This window comes from Homo sapiens, chromosome 1 (assembly GCF_000001405.40).
Source record: "Homo sapiens chromosome 1, GRCh38.p14 Primary Assembly".
Classification (NCBI taxonomy): Eukaryota; Metazoa; Chordata; class Mammalia; order Primates; family Hominidae; genus Homo; species Homo sapiens.
Window position 1 is genome coordinate 211,413,822 of NC_000001.11, and position 17,629 is coordinate 211,431,450.

General features: G+C 40.2%; 1 long non-coding RNA gene and 1 pseudogene across 1 annotated transcript in view; both read left to right on the forward strand.

Annotated features, from left to right (window-relative positions):
* Positions 1 to 17,629, forward strand: part of LINC00467 (long intergenic non-protein coding RNA 467) — a 49,781-nt gene that overhangs the window by 31,067 nt on the left and 1,085 nt on the right. Inside the window, exon 5 of the long non-coding RNA NR_026761.2 lies at positions 12,390 to 12,462. This is a non-coding gene — a long non-coding RNA (long intergenic non-protein coding RNA 467). The remainder of the gene's footprint in view (positions 1 to 12,389; positions 12,463 to 17,629) is intronic.
* Positions 3,140 to 4,113, forward strand: SNX25P1 (sorting nexin 25 pseudogene 1; annotated as a pseudogene).

Consider the following 17,629-nt stretch of genomic DNA (forward strand, 5'->3'; position numbering starts at 1 on the left):
CTGTATTTGCAACTTTTCTGTAAGTTTTAGATTGGGGAAATACTAAAAGCATTCCTGTTACAGTCAAAAACAAGAAAAGGACATCTGCTATCTCTTGTTTTGAAGATACCAGCAAATTCAATTAAACAAAAATGCCCAGCCACATCAATTAGGCAAGAGAAAGAAATAAAGGACATCCATATTGGAAAGGAAGAAGTCAAGTTATCCTTGTTTGCAAACAACATGATCTTAAATTTAGAAAAGCCCAAAGACTCCACCAAAAACTCTTAGAACCGACAAATGAATTTAGTAAAATCATAGGACACAAAATCAGCATGCAAAAATCAGGAGTGTTTCTATATGCTAACAGCAATCAGCCTGAAAAAGAAATAAATCAATCTCATTTACAATAGCTACAAAAAATAAAATACCTAGGAATAAATGTAACTAAAGAACAAAGAAGTAAAATATCTCTACAAAGAAAACTATAAGACACCAATGAAAGAAATTAAAGGTGACAAAAAAAAATGAAAGATATCCCATGCTCTGGAATGGAAGAATTAATATTGTTTGAATGTCTGTACTACCCAGAGTGAGTTATAGACTCAATGTAATCCCTATCACAGTACCGGTGATATTTTTCACAGAAATAGAAAAAAAAAAATCCTGAAATTCATATGAATAGCTAAATGATCCTGAGCAAAAAGAAAAAAGAAGGAGGCATCACACTACCTGATTTCAAATTATACTATAAAGCTATAGTAACCAAAACAGTATGGTACTGTAAAAACACACACACAGACCAATGGAACGGAATAGAGAACTCAAGAAGAAATCCATGTACTTCTAGCCAACTCATTTTCAACAACGGTAACAAGAACATCCAATGGGAAAAAGGTAGTCTCTTTAATAAATGATACTGGGGCTGGGCATAGTGGCTCATACCTGTAATTTCAGCACTTTGGGAAGCCAAGGCAAGAGGATTGTTTGAGGCCTGGAGTTCAAGACCAGCCTGGGAAACATAGTGAGACCCCCATCTCTACAAAAAATTAAATATTAGCTGGGCATGGTGGTGTGTGCTTCTGGTCCCAGATACTTGGGAGGCTGAGGTGGAAGGATCACTTGAGCTTAGGAGTTTGAGGCTACAGTGAGCGGTGCGTGTCCCTCTGTACTTCAGCCTGGGCAACAGAGTGGGACCATTCTTAAAAAATAAAAATAAGTAAATAAATCGTGCTGGGAGAACTGGATATCCATGTGCAGAAGAATGAAACTAGATCCCCATCTTTTACCATATAAAAAAATCACCTTAGCTGGGCACGGTGGCTCATACCTGTAATCCCAGCACTTTGAGAGGCTGAGGTGGGCAGATCACAAGGTCAGGAGTTCAAGACCAGCCTGGCCAACATGGGGAAATCCTGTCTCTACTAAAAATACAAAAATCAGCCTGGCGTGGTGGCGGGTGCCTGTAATCCCAGCTGTGCAGGAGGCTGAGGTTGCAGTGAGCCAAGATCGTGCCATTGCACTCCAGCCTGGGTGACAAGAGCAAGACTCCATCTCAAAACAAACAAACAAAAATAGCCACAATATATAAGGAACTCAATAGCAAAAACCAAATAATCCAATTTTTAAAATGAGTGAAAGACCTGAATAAATATTTCTCAAAAGAAGGTACACAGATGGTCAACAGATATTTGAAGAAAAATGCCCAACATCACTAATCATCAAGGAAATGCAAATCAAAACCACAATGAAATACTATCTCACCCCAATTAGGATGGCTATTGCCAAAAGACAAAAAATAACATATGCTGGTAGAATGCAGAGAAAGGGGAACTCACCTACACTGTGGGAATGTAAAGTAGTACCTCCATGATGAAAAACAGTATGGAGGTTCCTCAAAAAATTAAAAATAAAACTACCATATGATCCAGCAATTTCACTGTTGGGTATATATTTAAAAGAAAGAAAATTGTAACATCAAAGAGATATCTGCAATCGGTGTTCCTATGTTTATTGCCTCACTATTCACAAATAGCCAAGGTATGGCATCATCTTAAGTGTCAATCAACGGATGAGTGGATAAAGAAAATGTGGTTATGTACATAGTGGAATATTATTTAGCTATAAAAAAGAATGAAGTCATGTTATTTGCAGCAATGTGATTTGGAACTGGAGGTCATTATATTAAGTGAAATAAGCCAGGCACAGAAAGACAAATATCACATTGTTCTCTCACATGTGGGAGCTAATAAATTGGATCTCATGGAGGTAGAGAGTAGAATCATGGCTATGAGAGGCAGGGAGGGGAAGAGTAGAGGGCAGGATGAAGAGAAGCTGGTTAAGGAGTACAAAAATACAGTTAAAAGGAATAAGTTCTGGTGTTAGTAGTACAGTAGAGAAATTACAGTTAACAATAATGTAGTTCATATCTTAAAACAGCTAGAAGAGTAGAATTGTAATATTCCCAACACAAAGAAAAGATAAATTCTTAGGCTGGCCAGGCTTCAGTCACAACACGGTGGGGCTCCCTGGCTGCGCCCGGCCCGGCAGCTACGGGCCCAGCGCCTGTTGGCGGCGCTGAGGGGTCGCCGAGAGGGGCCCGGCGGCGTCTGCGGGGGCCGCTCCCTCCGTGGGCCGCGGGCGAGGCAGGAGCGCGGGCTCCCCCTGCCTCCGGAGCGCCGGCGGGGGACGGCGGGGCAGGAGATGTGCCTGTCCTTAGCGGCCCAGGAAGCAGCATGCACCCCGATGCGACCGACAGTGGCGGCGCCGGCCTCAGCCCCGCGCGGGCCGCAGGCGCCGGCGGCCGTCCTGTCTCGGGCTTCAGGGGCGAGCGGCGGCCAGAGTCCCCGGGGGACGCCGAGGCAGCAGCGGCGGCGCCGGGGGCCCCGGGCGGCCGGAGCTGGTGGAAGCCCGTGGCGGTGGCCGCACTTGCCACCGTGGCCCTCTCCTTCCTGGGGCCCGGCAGCGGGGAGGCGGCGGGGGCCGCGGGGCTGAGCTCCGTCCTGCTCAGGCTCAGCCTGTACCTGAGCTGCGCTGCGGCCACCTTCCTGCTGGGGACCCTGTTCGCCCTCGTCTGCCGGAGCCCGCGCGCCCCGCCGCCCGACTTTGCCGCCGCCTGGAGCCGGCTGGCCGCGACCTCAGCCGCCCGCCGCCCTCCTGGGAGTCCTGTGTATGGAAACTCACATGAGTCAGCTCAGTTTAGAAGGGTAGTAATTTCTCATAATATGGATAAAGTTCTGAAAGAAGTGTTCGACTACAGTTACAGAGATTGCATTCTGTCCTGGTATGGAAACCTCAGCAGAGATGAGGGACAACTTTACCATGTGCTCTTGGAAGACTTTTGGGAAATTGCCAGACAGCTGCACCACAGACTGAGTCACGTGGATGTGGTTAAAGTTGTCTGCAATGATGTTGTGAGGACTTTACTCACTCATTTCTGTGACCTGAAAGGTGCTAATGCCAGACATGAACAGCCAAGACCTTTTGTGTTGCACGTATGCTTGAGGAACTCAGATGATGAAGTAAGATTTCTACAAACGTGTTCTCGGGTTCTGGTGTTTTGTCTCCTCCCCTCAAAGGATGTGCAGTCTCTCAGTTTACCTATAATGCTTGCAGAAATTCTCACAACAAAAGTCCTGAAGCCGGTAGTGGAGTTACTGAGTAATCCAGATTACATTAACCAAATGCTGCTTGCCCAGCTGGAGTACAGAGAGCAGATGAATGAACATCACAAGAGAGCCTACACCTATAGCCCCTCTTATGAGGACTTCATCAAGCTCATTAACAGCAACTCTGATGTGGAGTTCTTGAAGCAACTAAGGTCTGTTGAAGGAACGGTAGAGAAGAGTGGTAGAAGATGTGTGCTGGTCGTTTTCAACAACTGACTTTTGGGCAAGGTATCAAATTGTAGTGGAAATAATCCAAGCGACTACAATTAGCAGCTTTCCCCAACTGAAGAGGCACAAAGGTAAAGAAACTGCGGCAATGAGGGCTAGGAACATGAAGAGGTACATCAACCAACTGACTGTGGCAAAGAAGCAGTGTGAGAAGAGAATCCGAATCCTGGGAGGCCCTGCCTATGACCAGCAAGAGGTTGGGGCCGTGGATGAGGGGGAAGGGCCTCAAAGCCAGAAGGTAGAACTTTATAGTTTCTTGTTCTGACCCTACCAAGTTTATTATAAATGCTGATAGAACTACATATAAAGACTTTCAACTTAAAAAAAAAAAGAAAAATTTTTGAGGTGATAGATATCCGCTTACCCTGACTTGATAATTATAGATCGTATACATGTATCAAAATATCACATTGTGCATCTACTGATTTGGCAAATAAGCTAATAAAGAAATTTAAAAAGAAACAAAATATCACATATAGTCCCAAAATATGTATAACTATGAAATATCAATTAAAAATATTAAAACTAAATTGAGATATACATTGAAAAGGAGGAATGAAGTTACTATAATTATTAGGATGTGTGTTCTTACACCTAGACAACTCCAGAGAATCAGTTGAAAGTGTATTTCTTTAAAAATTATGGGGGGAGGGTGGAACAAAAAGGCAGAACATAGAGGAATTTGAGGACAATAAAACTATTTTATGTGATAATTGTGATGGTTAATAGTGTCAACTTGACTGGATTAAAGGATGCAAAGTATTGATCTTGGCTGTGTCTGTGAGGGTATTGCCAAAGGAGGTTAACATTTGAGTCAGTGGGCTGTGAAAGATAGACCCACTCTTAATCTGGGTGGGCGCAATCTAATCAGCTGCCAGCAAGGCCAGAATGAAAAGCAGGCACAAGAATGTGAAAAGACTAGACTGACTTAGCCTCCCAGTCTACATCTTTCTCCCATGCTGAATGCTTCCTGCCCTCGAACATTGGAGTCCAACTTCTTCAGTTTTGGGACTCAGACTGGTTTCCTTGCTCCTCAGCTTGCAGATGGGCTATTGTGGGACCTTGTGATCATGTGAGTTAATACTCCTTAGTAATACAACATATACATATGTATATATAAAATAGTATATCCTATTAGTTCTGTCCCTCTAGAGAACCCTAATACAATAATAGAATGGTAGATATATGTCATTCATTATACACTTGTCAAAACCCATAAAATTTACCACTCCAAGAATGAACTGTAATGTAAATTGTGGACTTTGGGTGATGATCATCTGTTAATGCAGGGTCATCGATTATAACATATTCCATTCTCACGCTGGATGTTGATAGTGAGGGAGGCTGTGCATGTATGTGGGCAGGAAGTATATAGGAACTCTGCACTTTCTGCTGTGTGTATTTTGCTGTGAATCTAAAACTTCTCTAAAAAGTAAAGTTTATTTAAAAACTAATAGAATTCAGTTAGATTTCTGTGTGAAAATGTGAATTTGGAAATCAATAATCTTTACATATATTGATACCAGTTAGATTTTATGGAAAAAAATCCTATTTACAGTGGAAATTTTTAAAAGATACATAGGAATAAATTTGAGAAATATGCAAGTTATTATGAATAAAACATTTAAATACTATAATGATACGTGAAATAAATGAAAAGGCATACCATGTTCTTGGACAGGAATACTCTATATCATAAAGAGATCAACTATTTTTAGGTTAAATTTTAATGGCATTTAAATCCACCTTAAAATAAACCACAACATTTTTAGAGTAGAACTGGACAAGATTATTCTAAAGTTCTAGTTAAAAAAAAAAGCAAGAATAGATTGTTCTAATAAGGGGGAGAACTAGCCATACCAGATATTGAAAAATATGAAAAATACAAAGTTAAAATATTGAGGTATTGACACATGGCTACATGGACAGATCAGTGAAATAGCTCAGGGGAAAAAAGCAATACATACAAAATTTGGCATATAAAGTCACCTCAAATCAGTAGGGAAAAGTTGACATATTTAAAAAATAATGTTGAGACAACCAGCTATCTGCAGAAAAATTAAAGCTGAATTCATGCCTCAGCTTTATATTAGGATAGATTCCAGATGGATCAAAGATTTACATGCAAAGAAATGAAACCATAAAAGAATTGAAGAAACCATTGGAAAGTTTTGAAATCTTAATCAGAGATGATTAAGAAATATATATAGAAAGGCTTTCTATATATGTCACAAAGTCCCCAAACCCTGAGATAAACATTGATAGATTGAATACATATGTATCCGAAGCCCAAAGACTCAGCAGTCATACTGCTAGGTATATACTCCAGAGAAACTCATGCATTTTTATATCAGTGTACCTGTACAAGAATGTTCCTGGCAGTGTTGTTCATAATTGTCAAAAAATAGAAGAAACCCAAATATCTATTAACAATAGAAAAGACAGATAAATTATAGTGTAGGTGTGTAGTAAAGAATTTCATCTTGCCCTAAGAGAAGTCTAGCCCTTGCCCTTGACTTCTGGGAATTAATCTGTAAGCCCGATGGTCTCTAAACCCAATGTCATGCTTGATAGGAGTACACTTTGAGCACCCTCTAATTTGAAAATCTGAAATACTTCAAAATCCAAAATTTTTGAACACCAGTATGACACCACAAGTGGAATATTTCACACCTGAGATTGGTTGCAGTCAAAACACAGGGATATGACACAGTTTATTCAGCAAACCCAAGGAAATAAAGACTCCCCCTCCAGCCTACTTTAGCTGCAGTATATCTTTTTTCCAGATTCCCCCATGCAAGCATGTCCACAAAAGACAATAAAATGACATGTGTGCAGGCCACACACACCAAATGGCAGGTTCCCCACAGTGCCCCACATGGGGCCAAGACCTACGTGCATGACTCACTCTGGTTTTGTTTTGTTTTGCTTATTCTCTGTGGTGTAAAGATACTGTTACAAATGCCAAAAAGGCCTGCAGATACCCTTATGGGTAATAGTAATAAGAAAAATGAAGCATTTGTGTTTATATATAACAGAGAAAGTCAAGCGGCTGGAGAAACTGGACAGTGGTGTAAATGTGAAATGTCTTACAAAAGAATAGGGTGTTGGGATCATTATATATATGACCTGAAGAAACAGAAACATGAACTGTTGAAGTTCTATGTTGAAAGGATAAAGAGAAGTCAGTGAGAAAAAAGAAAAAAAAAAAAAAACTGCATAAAGCTGAAAATGGAAGTCTCAATTGTGTATTGAAAGAGTGGATCTGCCAGCATTGCAGTTAGTGGTTTGCTGGTCATGAAACAAAGATGTATAATAATGAACTGAAAATTGAAGGGAACTGTGAATGTTCAACAGGTAATTGCAGAAATGTTCAAGAAGACATGGCATTAAACTTTTAAAGATTTGTGGTGATAAAACATCTCCATGAAGCAGTGGAGAAATTTATTGGTGAGTTTGCCAAAATCATTGCTGATGAAATCTGATGCCAGAGCAAGTCTGTAATGTAGATGAAATATCACTGTTTTGGCACTATTGCCCTGGAAAGACAGTGACTACAGCTGATGACACAGCCCCTATAGAATTAAGGATGTCAAAGACAGGATAACTGCTGATATGGGCTAATGCAGTAAGCACACATTAAGTGTAAACTTGCTGTGATAGGCAAAAGCTGTGTCGTTGCTGCTTTCAGTAGGTGAATTTCTTTTATGTCCATCGTTATGCTAACAAAATAGCTTGAATCACCAGGAACATCTTTTCTGATAGGTTTCACAAAAATTGTATACTAGTGGCTCAGGCTGATAGCACAGAAGCTGCACTGGGTGATGACTACAAGATTTTTAAAAATTCCTTGACAACTGTTCTGCTTATACTCTAGCTGAAGTTCTCATAAAAAATAATGTTTATGTCATGTACTTTCCCCTGAATGTGACTATTAATTCAGCCATGTGACAAGTGTGTCCTTAGATCAATGAAGAGTAAATATAAAAACGTTTTCTTGAATTGCATGCAACAGCAGTGAACAGGGGCATGGCCGTGGAAGGATTTTCAGGAGTTTAGGATGAGGTTTACCATCTATGCTGTTGCCAGCACTTGGAGCACAGTGATTAAAGACAAATTTGTGCATGCTTGGCACAACCTCTGGCCTGCGACTGTGTTCAGTGATGATGAACAAGATGGTGACTTTGAAGAGTTCCATATGTCAAATGAGAAAAAATGATGTCTGGCCTGCTTATATATGAAAGAAAATACTCCTTCAGAGTCCTGAAAGCTAGAAAATGGGTACTGAAGTTTTTAACATTGATAATGAGACTCCAGTTGTTCATTCATTGACCAGGGATGAAATAGCTGAAATGGTTCTGAGTCAAGGTGATCATGAAAATGGTGACAATGAAGATGAATATTGTTAACACTGTAGAAAAAGTACCTAAAGACAACATGATTGTCTAGGCCTGTTTGTGTTGCTATAAAGGAGTGCCTGAGGCTGGTTAATTTATAAAGAAAAGAAGTTTACTTTGGCCTGGCGCAGTGGCTCACACCTGTAATCCCAGTACTTCAGGAGGCTGAGGCAGAAGGATTGCTTGAGCCCAGGAGTTTGAGAATGGCTTGGGCAATGTAGCAAGAACCGCGTCTCTACAAAAATTTTAATAATTAGCCAGGCCTGGTGGCACATGCCTATAGTCTCAGCTACTCAGGAGGCTGAAGCAGGAGGATCTCTTGTGGTCAGAAGTTCAAGGCTGTAGTGAGCTATGATTGTGCCACTGCACTCAGCCTGGGCAACAGAGTGAGACCCTGTCTCTAAAAAAAAAAGAAAAGAGGTTTATTTGGTTTATGGTTCTGCAGGCTGCACAAGAATGGCGCCAGTATCTGCTTCTGGCAAGAGACTGAGGCTGCTTCCACTCATGGCAGAAGGTGAAGGGGCGCCTGCAACTGCAGATCTCATGGTGAGAGAGAAGGCAAGAGAGAGAGGAAGAGGTACCAGGCTCTTTCAACAACCAGTTCTAGGTGAACTGTTGTGGGAACTAATAGAGTTAGAACTCACTCATTACTGAGAGAATGGCACCAAGACATTCATGAAGGATCTGCCCCCATGATCCAAACACCCCATTAGGCCCCACTTCCAACATTGGGGATCAGATTTCAACATGAGGTTTGGAGAGTCAAATATCCAAACGATAGCAATGGTGAAAATGTGTGCTGGGCTTATTGAAGGAATAGAACAGTGTACATTTATAAAAGAACAAGAAATCATCACAGTTTATAATGTCTAAGAGAGAGTTCTAAATCAAAAGCATTGTTAATGAGGCAGATGACTCTGGAGGAAACATTTTAAAAAGCCATCCAGCAGAAAGCCTTCTTATCCTTAGAAGACCCACTTCTTGGTCTCTCACCTGCTTCTGATAACTTAGAAAAATGGTGTATAGTAACCTTTTAATCAAAACACAGCATGATAGGTGGGGACTGAAAGCCTGCCATTGTTTGTTGTTGCTGTTGTTTCACAGCTGATACAGGTATTCTGGTGGTGCTACTGTGCTGCTTAGTTACCCTGAATGCATTATTTTTTCACTGTATTACTGGTATGTCATATTTTTTGCTGTTACGTACTTTTGTGTGAATAAGTATAGGAAAAGGATTCCTTATCAGTAGCAAATAAATAAATTCAGAGTCAGGAATGATGGTGATGCCCATCAACCACAGATTACCCACATGGGTAGTGGTTGAGGTAGTGACACCTTTGTTTTCTGGTGGTATGATGCATGCAAATTTTATTTTATGCACAAAATTATTAAAAATTATTGCATAGGTCAGGCACGATGGATTATGCCTGTAATCCCAGCACTTTGGGAAGCCGAGGCAGGTGGACCTTTTGAGGTCAGGAGTTCTAGACCAGCCTGGCCAACATGGTGAAACCTCATCTCTACCAAAAATACAAAAATTAGCCAGGCATGGTAGTACGCGCCTATAATCCCAGCTACTCTGGAGGCTGAGGCACAAGAATCTCTTGAATCCGGGAGGCAGAGGTTGCAGTGAGCCAAGATCGTGCCACTGCACTCCAGTGTGGGTGACAGAGCAAGACTCTGTCTCAAAAAATTATTGGCTGGGTGTGGTGGCTGACACCTGTAATCCCAGCACTTTGGGAGGCCAAGGTGGGTGGATCACAGGAGTTTGAGACCAGCGTGGCCAACATGGTGAAATCTTGTCTCTGCTAAAAATACAAAAATTAGCTGGGCGTGGTGGAGCGTGCCTATAATCCCAGCTACTTGGGAGGCTAAGGCCACAAGAATTGCTTCAACCTAGGTGGTGGAGGTTGCAGCGAGCCGAGATCCCACCACTGCACTCCAGCCTGGGTAGTAGAGCGAGACTCTGTCTCAAAAAAAAAAAAAAAATTATTGTATAAAATTATCTTCTGGCTATGTGTTTAAGGTATATGTGAAATATAAACTAAGTTTATTAATTAATTTATTTGTTTTGAGACAGGATCTGTCTCTGTCACCCAGGCTGAAGTGTAGTGATGCAATCCTAGTTCACTGCAGCCTTGAACTACTGGGCTCAGTTGATCCTCCCACCTCAGCTTCCTGAGTAGCTGGAACCACAGGTGCATGCTACTGCACCTGGCTAATTTTTAATTTTTTTTTTCTAGAGACATGATCTCTCTATGTTGCACAGGCTGGTCTCAAACTCCTGGCCTCAAGGGATCCTCCTGCCTCAGCATCCTGAGTAGCTGGGATTACAGGCATGAGCCACTGCGACCAGCCTTGAATTTTGTTTTTAGAACTTGGGTCCTATCCTTAAGATATCTCATTCTGTATATGTGAATATTCCAAAATCACAAAATATTTAAGATTAGAAATACTTCTGGTCCCAGGAATTTTGGATAAAGAATACTCAACTTGTATCTTTGTTTGCCTGGAGGCCTTGGGTGATGTGATTTACGATAGGGCTGGCCACACCAGATAGTCTAAAAATGTGATTTAGGATGGGGAAAAAATCAATTTTAAAAGGTCTTACAACCCAGTAGACAAATGTGCAGAAGATATGACCAGACAGCTCACAAAAGGAAGATATAAATGCCTCTTAAATTTATTTAAAGATGCCCAAACTTACTCGTGGTAACAAAAATGAAGATTTTAATTAAACATGTCATTTTTCACCTATCTAATTAGTTAAAAGATTCAAAAGTTTGTTATCACATCATGTGATAACATGGGGAACAAGGTTCGGGGAAGTGTAGGTCCTTTCTGCTGATGGGAAAGAACATTGATTCAGCGTCAGTGGAGGGCAGTATGACAATATCTATTAAAATTAGGAATATATATAATCCAGAGTCCTCAATTACACTTCTAGTAATTTATTCACACACCTTTAAAACCACCTTTACAGGTTATTTGTAGCAATATTGTATGTAAAAGATTGGAAACAACATAAATGTCCATCTGCAGTAGGCTGATTAAATTCTGGAATCTCTATACAGTGGAATATATTGCAATCAAAAAATACTAAGTAATCCTTTGCTTACTGATTAGGAATGGCCTTCAAGTTATAGCCACACAGGATGGTGTGTAAAAATATGTTACCATTTATGGAAGTAGTGGTGTTGAAGGGAAGAACATATATATTTAGTTGCCTATAAATGCATACAAGTATCTTTGGAAAGATATGCAAAAAAATTGTAAGATTTCTTGTTATCTTTGGGAAATATTATGGTCTAAATGTGTTTCTCCAAAATTCATATGCTGAAATTCTAATCCCCCAATGATATATTAGATGGTGGGGACTTTGGGAGGTAATTAGATTTAGATGAGATCATGAGATTAGATACCCCATGATGGGATTAGTGCTCTTATAACAAGAAGAAGAGGCCAGGCGTGGTGGCTCACCCTTGTAATTCCAGCACTTTGGCAGGCTGAGGCAGGCAGATCACTTGAGGTCAGGAGTTCGAGACCAGCCTGGCCAACATAGTAAAACCCCGACCCTACTAAAAATACAAAAATTGACGGAGCGTGGTAGTGCACACCTGTAATCCCAGCTACTTGGGAGGCTGAGGCAGGAAAATTGATTGAACCCAGGAGATGGAGGTTGCGGTGAGCCGAGATTGTACTACTGCACTCCAGCTTGGGTGAAAGAGTGAGACTCCGTCTCAAGAAAAAAAAAAATTAAGAAGACGACGAGATATTAGAGCTTCCTCTCTCAACTCTGTGGGAATACCATGATAAGAGGTAGTCTGGAGACCAGGAAGTGGGCCCTAACCAGACATTGAATCTGATGACAACCTAATCTTGGGCTTCCAAATTTCTAGAACTGTGAGAAATGTCTGTTGTTTAAGCCACCCACCTGTGGCATTTTGTTATAACAACCGTAAGTGTCTTAAGGGAAAATTTAGATGGCTGGTTGACAGGTGGAAAGGAGATGTTTTGCTATTTAAATTTTGGGCCATGAATATAATCACTACTAAAAAATAAGGTCTGTGTCTTTTTTTATTGAAGCAATCATTAATATGTTTTCTTTTGTTTTAAGGACAAAATATGAAACACCAAGAAAAAGAGAAGGAAAAAAAGGAGGAAACAACCACATATGTCACCTTTCCAAGGTATCATGTGTTTCATGTTTAAGAAATTTATTTTGCAGTACTTTTGGTAGTCGGTTTACTTTTTTTTTTTTTTTTTTTTTGAGATAGGGTCTCACTCTGTCGCCCAGGCTAAAGTACAGTGACACGATCACAGCTCACTGCAGCCTCGACCTCCCTGGGCTCAGGCAATTCTCCCACCTCAGCCTCCTGATTAGCTGGGACTACAGGTGTGTGCCATCACATCTGGCTATTTTTTGTAGACGTGGGGGTTTGCCGTGTTGCTCAGGCTGGTCTCGAACTGGGCTCAAGAAATCCTCCTGCCTCGGCCTCCCAAAGTGCTGGGATTAGAGGCATGAGCCATCACACCCAGCCTGGTTTACAAATCACAGTGTACGACATGTTAAGGAAAATATTATGCGTATAATTTTTCTTGTTGGTTATATAAACTGCATACTTTAAAATTTAGATATATATTGTCATCTCTTAAATATATCAAGAATAGTAGCAATCCCACATATTTCAAAGCATTAAAAATTGCCAATTGGATTTTATCTCTGTACCCTGAGATGACATTCAGTGAACAGGTGTCTCTTTCAAAGTTTATTTTTGAAAATATGTATTAACATAGCATAGTTTCATATAGTGTTCTTGAAGTCACATGATATAATTAAAATACAGAATTACAATATCCTTAGAAAAAACATTTATTGAAAATAACAAATGGGCCAGGCATGGTGGCCTGTAATCCCACCACTTTGAGAGGCCAAGCCGGGAGCACTGCTTGAGGCAAGGAGTTCAGATCAGCCTGGACAGCATACTGAGACTCCATCTCTATAAAAAAATTTTTAAATTAGCCAGGTGTGATGGTATGCATCTATAGTTCTAGCTACTCAGGAGACTGGAGTGAGAGGATAGTTTGGGCCCAGGAGTTCGAAGTTACAGTGAACTGTGATCACACCACTGCACTCAGAGTGAGACCCTGTCTCACAACAAAAAAAATTTTTTTTTTTTTGAGACGGAGTCTTGCTCTGTTGCATAGGCTGGAGTGCAGTGGCATGATCTCTGCTCACTGCAACCTCTGCCTCCCAGGTTCAAGTGATTCTCCTGTCTCAGGCTCCCGAGTAGCTGGGACTACAAGTGCATGCCACCATGCCTGGCTAATTTTTGCATTTTTAGTAGAGATGGGGTTTCACCACATTGGTCAGGCTGATCTCAAACTCCTGACCTCAGGTGATCCACCTGCCTTGGCCTCCCAAAATGCTGGGATTACAGGCATGAGCAACTGCGACTTGCCAAAAAAAAAATTTTTTTTAAGTAAAAATGTCCTGTGACTCTCAAATATGATCAAAATGACAAAGTTGGTTTTCATCTTGTATGGAATATTTAGGATACTATCTGCCCTAACAAATCAGGTGCTTTACAAATACATTTAGAAATTGCTTTAACTTGACTTGGTGTGCTGGCTTACACCTGTAATCCTAACGTGGTGGCAGACACCTGTAATCCCAGCTGTTCGGGAGGTTGAGGCAGGAGAATGGCTTGAACCCAGGAGGTGGAGGTTGCAGTGAGCCGAGATCGTGCCATTGCACTCCAGCCTGGGCACCAACAGCAAAACTCCATCTCAAAAAAGAAAAAAAATTACTTTAACTTGCTTAATATGGTATCTGAACTTGAACACTTCATGTCTGTATTTGTGACTATGCTTCTTATTTTATATTTATTCACGCTTTTTTTTCTATGGACTCCAAGAAGGCAGAAGCTAATAGAAAATAAATACTTCCCTAAGGGTACAATTCCATGGGTGCCCAGAGCAATTATTAATCTGTTTCAGATTGGTAGATCATGTAGTCCTCCCCAAAGGAGATGGCGGTATTTGAATCAAATCTTAAAGGATGAGTAAATTTTACTAGGCAGAAAAAAGGGTAAAGAGCATTCCAGGCTGAGGGAAAAGCATTAGCAAAGGTAAAGAGGAACAAAAGTTCATTTTGGATCAGGATATTTGCAGTTGAAACTGGAACATAAGATGAGAAGTGGCATGTAGTAAGAAATTAGACCAAAGTAGTAGTTTGGAACTAGTTTGGATTTTACTCTGTAGGCATTGGGAACATTTGAACATCTTAAAACAGAAATGACATTTTCTAACCTTTGTTCTAGGAATATAATTCAATATCAGAATGATTTGGAAGGAAAAAACCTACAGGAAGCTATTGTAGCCTAGTGAGGAAGATAAATATTAATACAGCCAATTTATAGATCAGACTAAAGACAATGATTGGGGCATTGAAAAGAACAGATAGAAGAAATATTGCAAAGGTAAAATCTGTATGACCTAGTAACTGGATATAGAAAGTCTGGAAGACATAGTTTTATAGAAATGCATTGTTTTAATGGGATAAATCTTATTAAAGGATCATCCTAAATGGTTTTTTAATACTGTGCACAAAGTTCCCAAATTTAAAGCATACAAATTTTGGAAATTAAAAGTTTTGCAAAATGGATGATTCCTTTAAAATAAGTATAATAAAGATTGATGGACTTCAGGCAGACTTGGCAGGATACAAGTTTTCATACTCAGTAGAGGACTCTTGTAAGTCATAGGTACCCTATAGTGTTATAATATCAACCCACCTTGGTGTGATTGGTGTCCTTATTTGCCACATAATCAACTAGTCAAATTGTAGAAGAGGAATAATCTGGTTAATAAATAATTAAACCTTATCAGATTCTAAAATTAATATTTGACAGATAAAGGATTTAAATATACTTAACTTTATAAATACCATCAGATATTTTTCCTAGGAAAAAGGTAATATGGTTGTTGCTGATGGTATTTATAAAGTTAAGTATAGTTAACACTTCAACAACATGGTTTGAACTTCAGGAGTCCACTTACATGTAAATTTATTTCAACCAAATGTGGATTGACAATACAGTATTTGTGGGATGCAAAACCTGCATATACTGAGGGCCAACTTTTTGTCAGCTGGTTCCACAAGGCTAACTGTGAGACTTGAGTATGCGTGAATTTTGGTATATGTGGAGGTCCTGGAACCAAACTTCCATGTCGACTGAGGCACAACCGTATCTCAAAATAAACATTGCATTGTGTTTTTACAGTTCTTCTATACTCTATAAAAACATTTCATTTGTGTTTAGTACACACTTGAACTAAAATTTCTAAGTAATTCCTACATTGCAAATGTTTGTTTTGTAGTAAATTGGAGGTAAATAGAGTCATTTGCTTGGAAAATTTTCTTGGAGGCCACAAATCCAGTGTCTAATGCAAGCAATGTCTAATGCAAGCATTCTGTCATAAACTGTTTCATTAGGATGGGGCACTCTACTATATAATTGATAGGCTGGGATTTGCCACCCAACTGACCAACTATTACAAGGATTTGGATAATTATAAATTACTTTTCTTCCTTTAAAATCTCCAGCACAGGCTGGGCCCAGTGGCACACGCCTGTAATCCCATCACTTTAGGAGGCTGAGGTGGGTGGATCACTTGAGGTCAGGAGTTCAAGACCAGCCTGGCTAACATGGTGAAACCCTGTCTCTACTAAAAATACAGAAATTACTGGGTATGGTGGTGCATGCTTGTAATTCCAGCTACTCGGGAGGCTGAGGCGTGAGAATCGCTTGAACCTGGGAGGTGGAGGTTGCAGTGAGTCTAGATGGCACCACTGCCATCCTGGGCAGCCTAGGTGACAGAGCAAGACTCCATCTCAGAAAAAAAAAAGAAAGAAAGAAAATCTCCAGCATATAACAATTGTGGATAATGTCAGGGCTGAATCAGTGGATGTCATCTAATAATAATAATAATAATAATAATAATAATAATAATAATAATAAAGCTTTTAATTTCTCAGTGCTTAGTATTGACCTGCTTCTTCTCCAGAATTCTTCATATTAGTAGATTTACAACCCAAGCCTGATCTGGGGATCATTCTTGATTATTCTCTCTCACCATTCCCCTGCCATTACTACCACACATGCATTTTTAGTGACAGTTATTATAGGTTTGGTCTCTTGAAAGCTCTTGTTTTTCTTTTTAGCTTACAAAGACTAAAAAGTGAATCTTCAAATTCCCAGCCTCCCTTACAGCTAGTAATAGCCATTTAGCACAATTTCTGGCCCCAGTGATACAAGGTAAAATTCTTGTAATCTTAGAAACATTATTCTTTTTTTTGAGACGGAGTCTTGTTCTGTCACCCAGGCTGGAATGCAATGGCACGATAGTGGCTCACTGTGACCTCTGCTGCCTGAGTTCAAGCGATTCTCCTGCCTCAGCCTCCCAAGTAGCTGGGATTACAGGCACCTGCCACAATGCCCAGCTAATTTTTGTATTTTTAGTAGAGACGGGGTTTCACCATCTTGGCCAGGCTGGTCTTGAACTCCTGACCTCCTGATCCACCTGCCCTCTGCCTCCCAAAGTGCAGGGATTACAGGCATGAACCACTGCATAGAAACATAATTCTAAGATGAGAGTTAAATAGGTTCAAATTAGAATACAATAGATTGGGGGCATGTGCCCAAGTTTCATTTAACTCAGTGAGGGAACCAGTAGGATGAAAAAGTTAGTTGAAATGATAATATTAAAGACTTGGTTATTGTTTTTTATAATGAATGGGGGAAAAAGGAATGCTGAGATAAGATTGCTAAATTAGATACAAAACTAGTCAGTTCTATAGGGCAATGAAAGTATAATCTTTAAAATTACCCTTTCTACTGGTCAGAAAAGAGAATTGTCACACTTCATCCATTTTATTTGTTAGCCTCTAGCTATAAAATTGTTTGTTATGTAGATATGTGAGCTCCAAGCCATAGTGAATACAGTGTGCAACAAAATTACTTTCCCTGGAGAATTAGATGACTGTTAGGCAGCCTTTTTAAACAGTGCCCTAACATGACATTAAAAGGTCATGCAGCTATCGCTTAACCTTATTTCCAAGTTTTGAATGTTCTCCTTGATAGCTGCAATAATGAATAACTCTGAACTTTACTCAGAGTTAAAGCTTTTTCCCTTCCTAGCATTAGTCTGGCTACCTGCAATGGCAGAGAGCTCTTCTTTCCTCTTGCACTAGACCAGAATAAAGGGGTACAAAAACAAAACCTCCCTTCACTCTCTGCCAAGCTGTGGTTGGGGTCTAGCAATCTAGGCAGCAGAATTAACAGCAGAATTAAC